Genomic DNA, 18651 nt, shown 5'->3' with positions numbered 1-18651 from the left:
AATAATATTCAGTGACTACCAATAACTAATAATATCCATTTTATATAACGACAATGAAAAGAGACACAGGAAAATGAGGTAGGTTGCTTTGAGCAGTGATTCTCATCCTTTACTTCAAAATCGTTTGGTGAAGTTGTTATAAAATACATGTCCAGATCCCTCTCCAGTCCTATTAAATAAAAGTCCTTGAGAATTATGCTCTACAAACCTTGAGAATTATCCTTGAGGACCACACCTCCTAAATAACAACAAGCTTTTCAGTAAAATGTAAAGTGCTATTACTTAACTGAAGCAAAATCTGCTTGCAGACAGGAAGACAGCTATAGGTGCTATTTACCAACTTGCTTTGCTCACACCCTGGCAACTTGTATTGGTTGTGTTTTGACCATGGAATAAAACTTGTGCTCAATGTGAATATACAATATATGCCATGCCATGATTATAAATTTACTACATAGGGATTGGGGTTATTATTATTTTTTCTTTACTACATAGAAATTGTAACTAATACTATTTTCTCTTTATTCCAAAGCATCTCTAAAAATTTTGAATATTTTCTTGTGATAGAAAAATTAGAGTGAGCAAATAGATTGCAACCATGAGCCTAAATAAATAAATTTAGAAAAAACTAAGCCTCTCTTTTATTATATCTGTCTATACTATTATTTTAAAAATTCATAATTCAACTTAATAAGTAATTTTTTCAGAGAAACCTGGATTATAAAGCAATTAATTTATTAAATGTGTTATGTAAAATTAAAAATAATAGCATATTTTAATTAACATCAATATAATTTAAAATTTTTATGTATGGGGTACATGAGATATTTTGATACTGGCATATAATATATAATAATCATATTAGGGTAAATAAGTTATTCATTACTATAAGCATGCATCATTTGCAAGTGTTTTTTTTTTTTTAGTACCACAGGAAATTTTTATTAATTTTTATTATTTGACTTTTATTTTAAGTTCACGGGTACATGTACAGGTTTATTATACAGGTAAATGGCATGTCCTGGGGGTTTGGTGTATAGATTATTTGCAAATCTTTAAAAAAATCCTACTTATTGCAGCACTGTTCACAATACCTCAAGCCACGATAAATTTTTTTTTATGAGTTGCCTGTGTTTCCAAAATACCAAAATATTTTTGGATATCAAACCCAACCTTTATAATATAATACAGATTATAATTTGGAATACCTATTACATGACTTCATCATGAATAATTACGATCACATGAAAAAATTTAATGTAATAAATTGTCTTTTTCTCTAGATACCATTGTATCTTTCATAAGATTGCAAATAGTATCATAGAAAATTTCTAAAATAAAAGTCATGTTGTTTACAAATAAATATTAGTAACAATTTTAGATAAATTCAATAAGAATGAAATAGAAGTTTCAAGCCATTTTTACTCTATTATTGTGAAAGGAAACTGTGAGTAGTTGGAGGTAGGCTGGGAAGAATTTTAATACCAAATTCAATTAATCAATATTTATTTCACTCTCAAGTCCTTTTACATTCGTACACCCCTGTTGTATCACCTTTATATTCTCTTGGGTGTATCAAAGGCAAATTAACTTTAACTTTTTAAAACTGTTTTACCTCCTTTATTATCCATGTGATTTATCTCATAGAGCAACTCTTTTTATTTAAACATTTTTTTAACAACAAATTCACCCCTGCTCACACTTTGTCGATCCTTTTTTTTTTTTTTTTGGCATCATGTCTGTCATATTTCTCCAGAAGACATTAACTGACTCTATTTCCTTTTTTATATTAATTTTAAATTTTTAGGTGTACATAATAGGTATACATATTTATTAGGTACATGAGATATTTTGATACAGGCATATAATGCACAGTAATCACATCACAATAAGTTGGGTTTTCATTATCTCAAGCATTTATTATTTCTTTGTATTACAAGCATTCCAATTATATAATTTAGTTATTTTTAAATATACATTTAATTATCATTGACTATAGTCACCCTGTTGTGCTATCAGATACTAGATCTTATTCAATGTAACTGAATATATTTTTGTAACCATTAATTATCATCACTTCCTTTCATCCACTACCCTTCCAAGCCTCTGATAACCATCCATTTACTGTCTATCTCTATACATTCTATTTCTGTGAAATAGAAAAAAATGTATTTTTCTATGTGTTTTGATAGTGACTAGATTGAATCTGTAGACTGCTTTGGGTAGTATGAACATTTTAACAATATTGATTCTTCCAATCCATGGACATGGCATATCTTTTCATTTTTTAAGTTCTCTTCAATTTTCTTCATCAGCGTTTTATAGTTTTTTTTGTAGAGATATTTTAGTTCTTTGGTTAATTTTTTTCGTAAGTAGTTAATTTTCTGTGCTTTAAGATTTTTGTGGAGTCTTTAGGTTTTTATTATAAGATCATAGAATCTGTGCAAACAAGGATAATTTGACTTCTTCCTTTTGAATTTGGATGACCTGTATTTCTTACTTTTGTCTGATTGCCCTAGTTGGGACTTCCAGTACCATGTTAAATAACAGTAGTGAAAGTGGGCATCCTTGTCTTGTTCCAGATCTTAGGTGAAAAGCTTTCAGTTTTTCATCATTCAGTATGATACGATTTGTGGGTCTGTCATATAAGATTTTATTGTATTGAGGTGTGCTTCTTCTATACCAAGTTTTTTCTTAGTTTTTTTTTTTCCATTAAGAGATACTGAGTTTATCAAATGTGTTTTCAGTAATTGACATGATCACATCGTTTTTGTACTTCATTTAGTTGATATGTATCATATTGACTGATTTGCATATATTGAATCATCCTTGCATCCCTGGGACAAATCCAACTTGGTCACGATGAATGACCTTTTTAATGTGTTCTTGAATTCAGTTTGCTAGTATTTTGTTGAGGATTTTTGCATCGGGGTATTGGCCTTTGGTTTTCCGTTTTTTGGTGTGTCTTCCTCAGGTTCTGCTGTAAGTGAATGCTGGCCTTGTAGAATGAGTTTGAAAATGTTTCTTCCTCTATTTTTCAGAATAGTCCGAATAGGAGTGTTATCAATTCTTTTTTAAATGTTTAGTAAAATTTAGCAGTGAAATCATCAAATCTCAGGCTTTTCTTCGCTGGGAAACTTTTTATTACAGCTTTGATCCCATTACTTGTTATTGGTGTGTTCAGGTTTTGGATTTCTTCATGGTTCAATCTTGGTAGGTTGTATGTGTCTAGGAATTTATCCATTTTTTTCTAGGTGGTCCAATGTATTGGGATATAGTACATATATCCCAATATACGTACATATATAGAGCTCATAGTAGTCTCTAATGATGCTTCGAATTTCTATTTTTTCAGTAGTAACGTGTCCTTTCTCATCACTGATTTTATTTATTTCCGTCTTCTCTGTTTTTTCCTTTGTTAGTCTGGCTGAAGGTTTAGCAATTTTGCATATCTTTTCAAAAACTACTTTTCATATTTTTGATCTTTTATGTGTTTTTTTCTATTTCACTTATTTCTGCTTTGATCTTTATTATCACTTTTCTTCTGCTGATTTTCAGTTTGGTTTTTGCTTTTATTCTAGTTATTTAAGATGCATTATTAGGTTGTGTATTTGAAGTTTTCTCTACATATTTATGTAGCCATTTATTGCTCTAAGCTTTTCTCTCAGTTCTGCTTTTGATGTATTCTTTTAGTTTTGGTATATTGTGTTTCCAATTTCATTTGTTTTAAGAAAAAAATTTAATTTCCTTCTTAATTTTTTCATTGACCCTCTGGTCATTCAGGGGCAAATTGTTTAACTTTCATGTGCTTATGCAGTTTCTGGAGTTCCTCTTGTTACTCATTTCTAGTTTTATTCCATTGTGGTCAGAGAAAATACTCGATATGAATTTACTTTTTAGTATTTCTTTAAACTCATAGTGTGGTTTAACATATGGTCTATCCCTGAGAATAATCCATGTGCTTAGGAGATGTGTATTCAGCATTTGTTAGATGAAATGATCTGTAAATATCTATGAGGTCCATTTGGTCTATAGGAGAGATTGCTTCTGATGTTCCTTTGTTTATTTTCTGTCTAGATAATCTGTCCAATGCTGTCTAAGTGGGGTGTCGAGTTCTCCAGCTGTTATTGTATTAGGATCTCTCTCTCTCTCTCTCTCTCTCTCTCTAGTTCTAATATTTTCTTTTTATATCTAAGTGGTCCAAGGTAGGGTGCCTATATACTTAAAATTATTATATTATCTTGCTAACTTGTCCTCTTTGCCATTCTATAATGACCTTCTTTGTCTCTTTTAATAGTTGGTGTTTTAAAATGTATTTTGTCTAATATAAGTGTACCTACTCCTACTCTTTTTAGATTTCTGTTTTTAGATATTCTCTTTTTAGAGAATATTACTTCATCTACATTCATTATTACTGTTGATAATTAAGTACTTACTGTTACCATTTTGTTGCTTTGTTTTCTGGTTATTTTGTGGTCTTCTCTTCCCTCCCTCCCTCCCTCCCTCCTTCCTTCCTTTCCTTTTGTGAAGTTAATATTCTCTGGTGGTAGGTTTTAATTTCTTGCTTTTATTGGTGTGTGTATCTGTGGTAGATTTTTTAAATTTGAAATAACCATAAAGCTTGCAAATAATATCTTGTAACCCATTATTTTAAACTGATGACAACTTAACTCTGAGTGCAAAAACTAATAAACAAGCAAAGAGAAAGCGAATGCAAACTTGACACTTCATGCACCCTCTTTTTAACTTTTTAACTTTTTGTTGTTTCCATTTATATTATATTACCCTATGTATGTCCTGAAAAGTTGTTTTTGTTAATATTTTTGATGGATTCCTTTTAGTCTTTCCACTCAAGACATGAGTAGTTTACACACCAAAATGACAGTATTATAATATTCTGTGTTTTTCTGTGTACTTATCTGTGTACCTTCAGATGATTTCTTATTGCCCATTAATATGTTTTTCTGTCAGGTGAAGAACTTCCTTTAGCATTTCTTGCAGGATATGTCTGGTGTTGATGAAATCCCTCAGCTTTTGATTGTCTGGGAATGTATTTATTTTTCCATCATGTTTGAAGGATATTTTCAGACTTACTACTCTAGGATAAAAGTCTTTTTGCTTCAGGACTTTAAATATGTCATTCCATTCCCCAGTGGCCTATAAGGTTTCTACCAAGAAGTCTGCTGCCAGATGTATTGGGGCTCTTTTATATGCTATTTGTTTCTTTTTGCTTGCTAACTTTAGCATTCTTCATTTATTCTTGACCACTGGGAGTTTGATTATTAAATACCTGGTATAGTCTTATTTGGGTTAAATCTGCTAGGTTTTCTATAACCTTCTTATATTTGAATATTGATGTCTTTCTCTAGATTTGGAAAGTTCTCTGTTATTATCCCTTTGAATAAACTTTATTCCCAATCCCTAGTTACCCCCTCTTTAAGGCCAATACATTTTAAATTTACCCTTTTGTGAATATTTTCCAAATTGTGTAGGCATGTCCCCTTCTTTTTTTAATTCTTTGATCTTTTATATCCTCTGACTGTATTTTTGAATAGCCTGTCTTCATGTTTACTAATTATTTCTTCTGCTGGTAAGAGAATCTGATGCATTTCTCAGTATGTCAATTTCATTCTTCTACTCCAGAATTTCTGGTTGATTATTTGTAATTATTTCAATCTTTCTGTTACATTATCGAATAAGATTGTGCATTATTTCTTTGTGTTATCTTGAATTTCTCTGAGCTTCCTGAAAACAATTACTTTGAATTATCTGTCTGAAAAATCACATATCTCTGTCTCTCCAGTATTGGTCCCAGTTACCTTATTGAGTTCATTGAATTTATGTTTTTCTGGATAGTCTCAATGGTTGTGGATGCTTTTTGGTATCTCAGCATAGAAGGGATAAGTATTAGAGTCTTTGCATTCTGGGCTTGTTTATAACCATCCTTCTTGGGAAGGCTTTCCAGGTATTTGAAGGGACTTTGGTGTTGTAATCTGAGTTTTTGGTCACTGCAGCCATGTCTGCATTAGGGTATACCCCAAGCCCAGTAATGCTGTGACTTGCAGACTCTTGGAGGTACCACCCTGGTGGTCTTGGGTAAGATCCAGGAGAATTCTTTGTATTAGCAGGCAGAGACTCTTCTTTTGCTTCCCTTACTTTCCCCTTAATGAATGGAATCTCTCTTTGTGCTGAGCTACCTGGTTCCTGGGGAGGGTCACATAAGTACTCTATGGCTACCATGACTAGGATGGTGCTGGGTTAGACCCAAAGCCATCACATCACTCAATCTTGCCCAAGGCCTGGGGTGACCACTTCCTTGCTACTGCTGATGTTCACTCAAGGCACAAGGGCTCTACAGTCAGCAGGTAGTGAATTTGGCCAGGCTTTTTTTCTTCCCTTCAGTGTCTTTAGCTCTCCCTTGGCTTAGAGAAGGTCCAGAGATGCTGTTTGAGAGCCAGGTCCTGGAGTCAAGAACCTTAGGAATCTACATGCTGCTTTATTCTTCTATGGCTCAGCTGGCATCTAAGCTGCAATACGAAGTTCTTCCCACTCTTCTCCTTTTCTCAAGCATAAGGAGTCTCTGGGGCTACCACCTGCCCAGGCCTGCAGCAAGTACTGCCTGGCTACTCCTGATGTTCGCTCAAGACCCCACAGCTCTTCTATCAGTTTCTGGTGAAAGTTGCCAGGCCTGGCTCTCTCCCTTAAGGGCAGTAGGCTTCCTGCCTGGCCCAGGACAGGTCCAGAAATGCCATTCATGAGCCAAGGTCTGGAATCAGGGACCCCAGAAACACACTTGGCACTCTACCTCACTGTGGCTGAGCTGCTACCCAGACTGCAAGAAAAAGTCTTCTATACTCTTCCCTCTCTTTTCCTCAGTCAGTCCCTCAGTCCCACTGATGGAAATATGGTGGGTCATACCTGAAACCAGCACAGCACTGGGTCTCATTAAAGACCACAGGGAGTTCTGTCAGACTAACACTAATATTTATTCAAGGCTCAAGAAGCCTTTAGTCAGAAGGCGGTGAATCCAGCCATGACTGGATCTTTCCTTTCAAAGGCAGTGGGTTCTGTTCTGGACCAGAGGGGGTCAAGAAATGTTGCCCAGGAACTAGGGCCTGAAATGGGGGTTGTGGGTAGCCTCAGAACTCTGCCTGGTGCTCTATTCTACTCTGGCTGAGGAGGTATTCAAGTTGCAAGACAAAGTCCTCTTTACTCTTCTCTCTTGTCCCCTCAAGTGGAAGTAAAAAGTCTCTCCTGGAGCTGAGAACTGTGCTGCCTGGGTTTTTTGGGAGCTGGGACGCAAGTACTCCTTTGGCCACTCCAGCTGTCTCACTAGATCACAGGCACCCTATGTCCATGTCCCCTGGCCCCAAGTCTAGCACAACACCAGGACTTGCCCAGGAATTTCAGTCCTTGTGGCCTAGACTCCCTTTCAAGTTTATTTAAAATGCCAGAGCACTTAAGCAGAAAGGAATACTCCATCCCAGTGGTCAGAACCTTAGTTGCTAGCCAGAACTCAGGTTCTGATCACTGGGGTGGAGTATTCCCCTTTGCTAGGGCTGTTCTACAACCCTCCCTCCATGGGCACTGCCTGAATTCTGCCCTGTGTTGCTTTCTGCTGTGACAGTGCAGCACTGAGTACCAATGCAAAGTCCCACAATCACCGTGCTTCCCCTCCCTCAGGCACACAGATTCTATCTCCATGCCATGAGGCTCTTGCCAGGAGAGGTGGAAGGAGTAGGGTTGGCAATTCAAGATTGTCTTTGCTACTCTTTTCAGTGTCTCTTTAATATGATGTTAAAACCAGATACTGTTCACTCATCTGACTTTTAGTTCCTATAAAGGTGCTTTCTTGAGTTCATAGTTGTTTAAGTTGGTGTTTTTGCAGGGGGAGGCAATTGCTGGAGAGTTCTACTTGGCCACCTTGATCCACCTCCTCCTGTATTTTAGTGTTTAACAAGCACAGTTCTTAAGGAACTATTGTAATTGCCTGTTTCCCTGTCTCAGCAATTCTACTCCCAGGCATTTACCCTAGAGAAATGAAAGCATATGTATTCACAGAAAGATTAGCATTTAAGTATGCCATATTATTTATTCATAATAACCAAATTTGCATCAAATTTTCTACCCATATGATAGAAAAATATTTAGCTATATAAAGGAAAAAAAGATATTCAGGCATAATGAACATCTATGAAAAGCCTAAGATTTTACCGTACTCTCATGCTAACAAGTCAGTATGTAACAGTCTTGAATGATAGTAAAAGAAATGTGAATTCTTGTTCAAAAAAATGAATTTTTTACTCATGGCACAGAAAGCAGCATATGCACCAGAATACAATCATATCTCAGTATCAGTGAGGGATTGGTTCCAGGACCTATGCAGATACCAAAATTTGTTGATGCTCAAATCTTTAAAATAAAATGATGTAGTGTTTTCATATAATCTATGCACATCTTCCTGAAAAGATATTATTTCTATATTACTTATACATATTATATATGTATTTGTGAGTATATATGCAATTATACATATATTTTGTAATTATATATGTGTATGTATAAATATAACTACATATAAATGCATGCTATATATATACATGAATATATAATTACAAAATTTCAACAAGATTGTGAGGTAGCTTTATCATCCATTTTAATGCCTCTGAGAAAACAGAGCTAATTCACTTTTCTGTGTCTAGCCATATAATCAGTATAGAGCACAAATTTTAATTCAAGAATACTTGACTCAAAGCTATGCTTATTCCACTATGGTGCATGTCTCTAATTGATGTATTATAATTAAATGATGTAAACATTCACAAGATAAATGGGTCAGTATCATATTTTAAACAGAAAACTTGTTTTCTAACTTCTTTTCCTCTGAAGGTGTTTTTATGCCAAGAATATACATAACAATATCATACATTCTAAAAAGTTATTAAGCCTGTAGTTATGATGAATTCAAATTAATTAAGTTAAAATATAATTATGATGTTGAAAGATGGTATCTGTAACCTAAGCCAGTACTAATATGTGGTTACCAAAGAGTTCAAATGTGTTATTCACATTGAATTAGACAAAAACATAGATTTATAAAATTATTTAATATATTTAAGGTGTAAAACACTCTGGGTTTTGAAAGGATTATTAATACTAAAGCCATTTATTTATTTCTCAAATTATCTATATAAGATTTATACATCCATGAGTGAAGGAATACATTCATATATCCAAAAGTATATGAGAGTAACTGTAAAAACATTTACTATTTTTAAATAGAACTAAATTAATGCTTTTTTACCTTGACATCTATTACATCAGCAGACTTTCTTTTCCATCTGCTTAAAACACTATTTAGTGCTATAAATCCAGCGGCATCCAAAAACACAAGCTCACATATAACATTCTATTTATGCAAATAGTGCATCTGCTGCTATATGAGAAGGCCAAATATGATTTTTAACTAGATTCAGACACCCCTAATGCTGTAAATATTAAATTGATTATAAGAAAATTCTATTAGAAATATTTAAAACATTAAAATGTTCATTGCAATATCACTATGTACAACCGGTACCTGGAATCACTTTAAGTTTCCTAGGATATTTGGATGTCAAATTCTATTTTCAACTACCAATGCCCATTGTCCCTAGAGAAGAAAAGTTCCTCTGCATTTTAAAGAGTATAATTACTATGATTCCACAAACTATTTTATAATGTTATCATATTAACAATTTCTTTTCTGCTTATTATTCAAATCTTTCCAGTATTCATCTGTATAAGAGAGTTAAAGCAAGGGTAATACAGCACAACAATTTTCTTATATTTAAATATTTCATAGAATCAAAAAATCAGGAAAATTTTGGTCGCACACTCATGCTTTTAATTGCTTCATAATTTGTATAACTTAAATAAAAATAATGCTTTATGGCACTATTAGAAAAGTGCTTATATACCATGAGTGAACTCCCATTCACCATTGCTACAAAGAGTATAAAATACCTAGGAATACAGCTTACAAGGGATGTGAAGGGCCTCTTCAAGGAGAACTACAAACTACTGCTCAAGGAAACAAGAGAGGATACAAACAAATGGAAAAAGAAAATTCCATGCTCATGGATAGGAAGAATCAATATAGTGAAAATGGCCATACTGCCCAAAGTAATTTATAGATTCAATGCTATCCCCATCAAGCTACCATTGACTTTCTTCACAGAATTGGAAAAATAACTACTTCAAATTTCATATGAAACCAACAAAGAGCCCAGATAGCCAAGATAATCCTAAGCAAAAATAAATAAATAAATAAAGCTGGAGGCATCATGCCACCTGACTTCAAACTATACTTATCTTTAGGAAGGGATTCATATTTTACTCTCAAGATTCCTCTGAGCCTATTTATTACAATTGTTCTTTACCTAAGGGTATAAACACTTGTATCAATATCAGGGACCAGCTTTTCACTATAGTCTGTTGGAATGAGGTAAGGGGAGAGGATGTAATTAGAAGGATCTCTGACAGGGGGTTCTTCTCTCACCTCTCATTAGGGTGCACTGACATATATTCTCTCCAATGTTTCACACCACTGACAAAACAGAAAAATATACAACAACAAAAAGAGATGAACACCCGGCACTCTGCAACTCCTTCTCAAAATTATAATTTTTAAATTTTTATTTATGTGTTTTTTTGTATTAATGCACTTCATGTTTCCAAACTTAAAATTTGCAAAATAATATATTGTGAAAATCTAGCTCCAGTCATTGTACCCCTTATTATCAGTCCTATATGTAAATGCAAATTATAACATAGAGTATTTGAAGAACGTTTTGAGACTATTTTATGCACATTCAAGCCAACACATATACTCCCTTTTCCAGCTTAAACACCAATGGTGGTATATTATTAACAATGTTAGGTACTTTGATTTTTAATATATCTCTTTACATCTTTTATGTCTGCATATCTTAGTGACCAATTCATATCAATATGAAAACATCCCTTATTATTTCAGCTACAAAGATGTTTTATGGTTATATAATAATAATTTACTCTGTCTTCTATAGATGAACATCTTGTTTCAACATCATTTTGCTATCAGAAACAATGATACAGTCAAGGATGGTGCAAAAAATAGCCCTGCATATATTATTATATACCTGCAAATCTACCCATAGGTTCTATTCCTTGAATGAGGATTTCTAGGTCAAAAAATTGTATGATGGCATCTTGGAAAAATATAACTATAAATAAATGATTTACAGATAATCAATTACTTAATTACTATATCAACCCCTAGAATTTTAGCTCTGTAACTTTGTCTTCTTTGATAAAATGTAGTGCTACTCCAGTGTGTAGCATCATATAATTATTGCTGTTATTGAATAAGTGAACTTGATGGACCTTATAAAATGCCATATTGTACATATATATGTATATATACATATACATGTATGTAATATTTTGAATATATATTTTAATGTTCTACATTTTAAATGTGGAAACCTTACTGCAATATAATTCCCTTTACCCTTTCCAATTTATGCTATAGTTTTCTTATATATTACATCTATATTATATAGAAAATCCTGTCAGACATACATATATAATAAATATTGCTTAAATATTTACAGTTGCTTTTCCTTCCTTCTTTATATTTTTGTGTACTAGGTTTCCTTCTGGTATTACTTATCTTCTGTCTGAAGAATTTACTTTATTCTCTAGCAATAATTTCATAGCCTATGTGCTGACTATGAATTCTCTTAGTCTTATGAATTTTTCTTCTCTGAAAATACCTTTATTACACCTTTATTTCTGAGAGATATTTACTGTGTCTATAGAATTTAGCACCGAGAATTCTTTACTTTCAGTATTTTAAATATTTTGTGTGGGTTCCTTCTTATACTACTTGGCTTCTGATGAGAAATCTCTCATTGTTTCAATTACTGTTAGCCTGTAGTAATGTATTGTTTCTGTCTCTGCTGCTCACCCACTGCCAGTGGAATTCTAGGGTCTGAGGCATGTGAGAAAAGAAAAACGTACAAGACATAACAAATTTAAAAATACAGGAAAATTTGCCCATTTACTCTGAGCTTTAGGCATTCAGTTCCCTGTTGCTTTAGGCAGAAGTAGAAGGCATCTCTTGGAGCTTTCTATCTGTACCAAGCTTTGCTATCCAAGGTCTCCAACTAAGCTAAGTTCATGTGGAGGACTAGAGTGGTTAGAGAGGAAAATAAAAAATAAGCAGATTAGTGGCACTTTGAGTTTTGGTGCCTTCTCTTGTCCAGCAGCTTCTTTACTTTTCAAAATCCTCAAATACCCTCCCCATTCATTCCGTCCATAGATGATTGTTACATTCAGTGGGAGAGGCAGGGCTCTGTATGGCGCCTCCATATCACCTGGATGGAATCCTAGAGAAATGTCTTACGATTTCATTTAGCATTAGAGAAATAAAGGCTATACAGAAACAATGTAAGTGGGCAGCAGAGACGAAGAAAAAATAATGTTTCTGTTTCTATCTCATAATATATTCTATATTTAAAATAATATTCATAGAGTATGTTCAATATATCAAATGTCCTATTTTATATTTGTAATCATAAGCCATGCATCTCACATCTTGTAAATAGCTGGTTTTTTTTTTGAACCAGCCTTTATCTCAACCAACAGAAATTAATTTGAAACTTGATTCTGTCATCCAAGCTACCGTAATGAACTCTGGAGATGATTCGATCAGTGTATCTTTGGTTTGTATACCAGGGTCATAGTAAAAAAAAAAAAAAAAAAAAAAAAATTGAGTTAACAAAAACATGATGTGTTGGCATACGTTCATATGTTTGGGGCAATTTGTAAGAATATTAGGTCTAACAATGCTTTTGAGTTAAATAACTGAAATAAGATATGTAACTAAAACCCCATAGCAGTGTTTTCCTACACTGACTGATGCTCAAACGGCAGTTTTAAAATCAGACTCATTATGGTCCCTTTCATGCAAGAAGTTAATTTTCTGTGAGACTCATATAATAATCACTCTGAAATACTGTAGTCATTGTATTATAAAGTTGTGAAAAATTTGAGATCGCTTTCCTATAAAATTTAGGAATGCTAAATTTTCCTTTATATTATTTATAGGACATTTTCTATAGCAAAATTACAGTCATTTGAACAGTTGATACTTTCAGAAAACAAAATTAACCATTTAAAATAATTTTATAGCTAGAATCCAAAGTATACAATTTTATTATTTGCATTGTAATAAAAATGTTATCAATGCAATCTATTAATAAATTTTATTTATGTTAGAAGCCTGACATTTACATCTAATTGTGAGTAACTGATTAATATTTTGTACTTATAATGAAGTTTTAGAAGCAATTATTGAAAGAATAAGCAAGATGTGCTAACTTTGCCAAAATGCCAGTTTATAGAACTGCTTTGTGGGAAAACCACTATTAACGCTTGAACATTCTTAATGCCTTAGGGCTCTCATCATTTGCTAAGACATGATCAACAGCTATGCTGGGCTGCCTTGGCCTCTGTCTCTGCCAACTCATGAATATGTCTTTCAAAAAGTGCCATAAACAGAACAGAGTATAAGCTGCTTCTGTTTTCTGAGCCTTCTGTCAGGAATTTAAAAGTGCTCTTGGTTGGGAAGAGAAAGTTAAATAGAAGCCAAATAGAAAATGGTGAGCCTTATCAGGAAAACAGTATTTAGATGATACTCAACTCTAAATCATCTTAACATCATAATAAAAAATGCAATCTCTAGTTGAAAATATTTTGATATCTAAAATATATGTCATTGGGACCTACTATTCAAAGTGCTCTAAATTTTGTGAGAAAGTATCTGTTAATCTTCGGCTTCATCAAAATAGTGTTACACATAGCTGGTTTCCTGGATTTGTTAAGGTTTACTCTCACAGTTTTTAAACACCTGAGTTTCTTATTTTTTACTTTTTAAATATTTAAGGGAGAACAAAGTTAATTTTCAACATAAGAATATAGTGATATGCATTTGTTTGTTTATTTTTAATGCAAGATGCCACTGAAAGTTACAATATAGAACCACAGTATAGTAATTTGCAAAAATTGCCCCAAATTCATCCTTTCTTTGTGCCCACCTCCTTTGTTGTTGTATCATTTAACCATGTGATTTCATTTAGAGCACTGAAATATTAGCCAATTCGATCTCGTGACTTGTTTGCTGCTAGCTTTAGGAAATGTAATAGGCTACATTTGAGAAGCAAATGTAGGCTTACCTTGGAGAAGCATCTCTCAGTCTTCAAGGAAAGACTTCCTGTACAACTTCAGGTAGTGCAGTTAGCAAACAATCTAAAGCTATCAGCTCCTTCAGAGCCTGCCTCAGCTGCAGTGATTCATGCTGCTGGAGGTGAACCCTTTTGGATAGTCTACTTACCTTAGAGATCCTAATAGACTGGAGCAAGGATTTGTTGGTACTGTTTCAAAGTTTGCCTTCTCCCTCTTTCCAAATGTGTTTTTATTTTTTGTGCTCTTTTTTTTAATAGAAGATAGCAACAAATAAATAATTTGCACCCTACAACCCATGTGTGAATTTAATTCTGGAAAACCCAATCTGAGACAGGGACATCCATCACCATGTGAAAAAGCCTGGGATAGTCTGCTGGAAGAAAATGTAACTTGCAGAGAATAGGTAAGCTGTAGCAGCTGTGGCCACCTCGGACCAGCCAAATCTAAGCCAGCTGGATAACTTAAAGACATGAGTGAGCCTGGCTGAAATGAGCAGGAGAGTCACGCAGCTGAACCCAACCCAAACTGATAATCCATGATTTTTTATTGGATTCATGCTTAAACCAGCTAGTTTTGTTTAGCACAGAGTTTCAGAAAATTTATTTAAAAACTTTGATATCTAAAACTGAAGGACTACTGTGAAAAACAAAAACTTGAAACATGCAGCCTTGACTAAAAAGTTGATGTAGCAAGAGGGCCAACAGCTTGGACTAAAGGGGTCCAAGTTAACTCAAACTGTGAGAAGGTCTCCGGACCCCCAAATGTTTACAAGCAGAAAGCACACTGACAAAACTATTTAGCAGCATTATAAACCATTTCTTAGGAAAAATAAAGGAAGTCTTGCAAAAGAGTTAATAAATCAGAGGGCAGAGCCAAGAGGCTCAAAGAATGGTGAGAGAAGCCCCTTCCAGTGAGCAAAATAAAAGCCTAATGAAAATGTATTATTTTTCCCCAGAACAGATAAACCTTGCAGTGTACCCAGTTGGATTTCAGAACATTGAAGAGCAGCAGCTTTTATGGGAATAAGAGTGTCCCTTACAGGTAATCTCCTCGACATTTATATTGGGTGAGTCACAGTCAGAAAATATCTTAGTTTGTAACTTTGAGGATGAAGAGTAGGTGTATTCAAGGAGCTACCTTCTTGAACACAATTGAAGGTCATGAAATTCTGAACTTCAAGGTTGATACCATGATTTCATGAGACTTTTGAAAGTCCTAGGATGGCAATGAGAATATCTTTTATGTGGAAAAATTGTGGGTAATTTGTGGCCAGAGGTTGGACTGTGGTAGATTCGAAAAGTGGTTGCAAAAGTTTTCCATTCTTGTTTCATGTCCTTCAGTCATGACTTCTCCTAGTGACTTTAAGATTATCGATGTGATTTGCTTTGCCTATGAGGCAATAAGCAAATGTGACACAAGCAGAGGCTTAAAAATGCGTATGCTTTAGGAGAGGTTAGCTGTTGCTCTTGGGAAACACAGAACCATATAAAGCTGCTAACCTTCTGGCAGATGAGAATCATCACGGAGCAGAGATGAGGCTAAACAGCTGAGGCTTCTCTAAAAAACAAAACAAACAAACAAACAAACAAAAGCAGTGCACTTCTCAGGTGATTGGCATCGGATAGCAGAAGCATCGGTGAGTCAGCTGAGGTACATAGAAGAAATGCCTACCTGAGCCAACCCAAATTGCCAACCCACAAAAATCTGAAACCAAATAAATTGTTTAAAACTACTAGGTTTGAGAGTATTTTGTTACAAAGCAGGTTAACCAAGGCAATTAAATGTAAAAGGTATACTAAATGAATAATTTTATAAACATTAAGCCATAATGACATCAAATTGATTTTGAAGTTCATTAATGCATACAGTCCTCAAACTGCTTTATTCATTGTATACTGTAATGTTTCACATTTAATTTCTGTATCTATTCCACTAAAGTTTAGTTTTTACTTGAGAAGACAAAAATATTATTATAGGAAATTTTATATCATACTCATAATTTGATTTGTGAAAATAAATAAAATTCAAATAATGTTGATTTCTGTTAATGATGCTGATTGCTTATTAGATCCTACACATATAAGTGAATCATTTGCCCATAAATATTATAGATTATTATCATAACAAGTATTGAATAACCTATACTTCTCATTTTGAAGAAGTGTATTCTATCTTTAATCAGTTGTGCCTAAATTTAAATGTGTATACATTTAAGAATTTTATCAAAAAATGTCTTTAAAAAATCAAAAACATCATCAAACTGCCAAAAATAGAAAAGCTGGGGTAGAGAAGTGAAACTATTGCTCAGTGATACAGTCCCTTTTTGTGCCAGCAACAGCTGGGCAATCAACTTTCATTTATAACTATCTACCGTAAGCAGCTTGCCCGTGGCCAAGTCAATCATTATAGAATCTAATGGTACATCAATTTTCTTCCAAGATTTAATTTGGCACACAGGGTTTTGAAAAAGAAGACTATCATAAAATATTGCTACAACTCCAGAATCTAATATCTTACTTGTGTTTTGACCCCATTAGATAAAATAAATTGAAATCCTTTCATTAATGTGTTAACAGAGTCATTTTAAAATTGAATTTTCATAGTGATCTCCTTGAAATTGCTTATAAAGAACTAAGTTATGTTGCTAAGGTTCTTATGCAAATTTTAAACAGATAATATACCTTTTTGTCTCACAACCATAACACATCAATGCAAGGTTCTGTGTTAACCAATTTCTTACCAACAAAATAATTTTTAATTTGATTGTTCTTGGTTTGAAGATTTGCTACTTCTCTTGTTTAATTTGTGCAGAATAAATTTTATTAGAGTCTTTTACAGATATCTTATGACAGTAGGGAGTACATGTGATCATATTTTATAAATATTTTCAAGTTGGTATCATGCCTAAATATCCTAAGTAGTGATTTGTGAATAATGGCAAATTAAAATGAATTAATGAGAAGTTTGTTAAAAATGCAGATGCTCAAAAGATTATATTGCTAGCAGTGTACGGCTAAGTAGAAGTTAAGTGTTCCAGGATTTGTGAACCATCATTTTAAGGACTGAACTGATGATGAAATCACTTAAGTGAATATATTAGCTACTATACAAAAGAAAAAATAAAAAAAGTACTTTTTAGATAACAGATAACAGCAAAATGAAGCATATTGCAATAATACTTTATCTATAATTCTGGAAACATAATTTTTAGTTCTTAGGAATCATAGGAATTAGGATATAATAAACATAAAAATGAGCTCAAAGATACAAGTCCAAAATACAAATTTTTGTTCTTTTCCTCCTTCCCTATATGAATCAGAATTTGAGGAGGTGTCATAGAAATCTGGATTTTTAGCAAGCCCAGAAGTTAATTGTATAAATGGTTCTCAAAGCAGTACCATTTTGCTGATGTACTTACCATTGCTTACTAATCCCCACTCTTTGACAGGCATTGCATTCAAGTGCCTTTCAATTTTGTTTATTTAACTGCTTAAAACTATTATGTTGTAGATATTCTTGCGCCTATGTTACAAGGGTAAGAAAATGATTAAATAATCATCTAAAGTCAAAAAAATAATAAAAATAAAGCCAGGAAGCAACTCAGATCTGTCTGACTTCAAAATATGGATATGTTTAATTATTTTTATATAAATACCACAATATTTTATTTGATTTTTTGTGTCTCAGTCAAAAACGCAAACTATCATAACCAAATTTAGTAAAATTATTTAAACTTTGAGTGTAGATATTTAGATATCTATATATGTAGATATTTAGAACTAGATGTATGAAGAAACATTAATAATAGATCACTAAAAGAAATAGTTATATCTAAATTTATATAGATTTAAAGTCAGCTTTAAATACTACCATTTTTCTATAATTCAAATTATATATATGTGTATATACATATATAATAGCATGGAAAAATAAATATTTGCAGTATTAAAAGCATTGTAAGGTAAGTGAAATTACTAACAGATGGGGGTTGGAAATATTCTTATAGAAAAAAATGTTTGCTGGGCGTGGTGGCTCACGCCTGTAATTCCAGCACTTTGGGGGGCCAAGGCAGACAGATCATGAGGTCAGGAGTTTGAGACCAGCCTGTCCAATATGGTGAAACCCCATCTCTACTAAAAATACAAAAATCAGCCAGGTGTGGTGGCGGGTGCCTGTAATCCCCTCTACTTGGGAGGCTGAGGCAGGAGAATTGCTTGAACCCGGGAGGCGGAGGTTGCAGGGAGCTGAGATCACGCCATTGCACTCCAGCCCGGGTGACAAAGCAAGACTCCAACTCAAAAAAAAGAAAAGTTTATGCAATATTTATTACTTTGTTGATGGATTTTTTTTTGTATTGTCTTTTCTTGTAATGTCTTCTCT

General features: G+C 33.5%; 1 long non-coding RNA gene across 5 annotated transcripts in view; it reads left to right on the top strand.

Annotated features, from left to right (window-relative positions):
• The window catches only part of LOC107986306 (uncharacterized), a 201750-nt gene extending 183872 nt beyond the window's left edge, over positions 1-17878 (top strand). For 3 of the 5 annotated variants that reach the window (XR_001741797.2, XR_001741796.2, XR_001741799.1), the window contains 2 exons: positions 14529-14674; positions 15227-17878. This is a non-coding gene — a long non-coding RNA (uncharacterized LOC107986306). The remainder of the gene's footprint in view (positions 1-14528; positions 14675-15226) is intronic. The other 2 variants (XR_001741798.2, XR_001741800.2) reach the window with 2 other exon arrangements.
• Positions 17879-18651: the final 773 nt, after the last annotated feature.

The sequence above is a fragment of the Homo sapiens genome, chromosome 4, assembly GCF_000001405.40.
Source record: "Homo sapiens chromosome 4, GRCh38.p14 Primary Assembly".
Taxonomy (NCBI): domain Eukaryota; kingdom Metazoa; phylum Chordata; class Mammalia; order Primates; family Hominidae; genus Homo; species Homo sapiens.
Note: the sequence above shows the minus strand (reverse complement) of the source record. Positions and strands in the feature narration are given on the sequence as shown.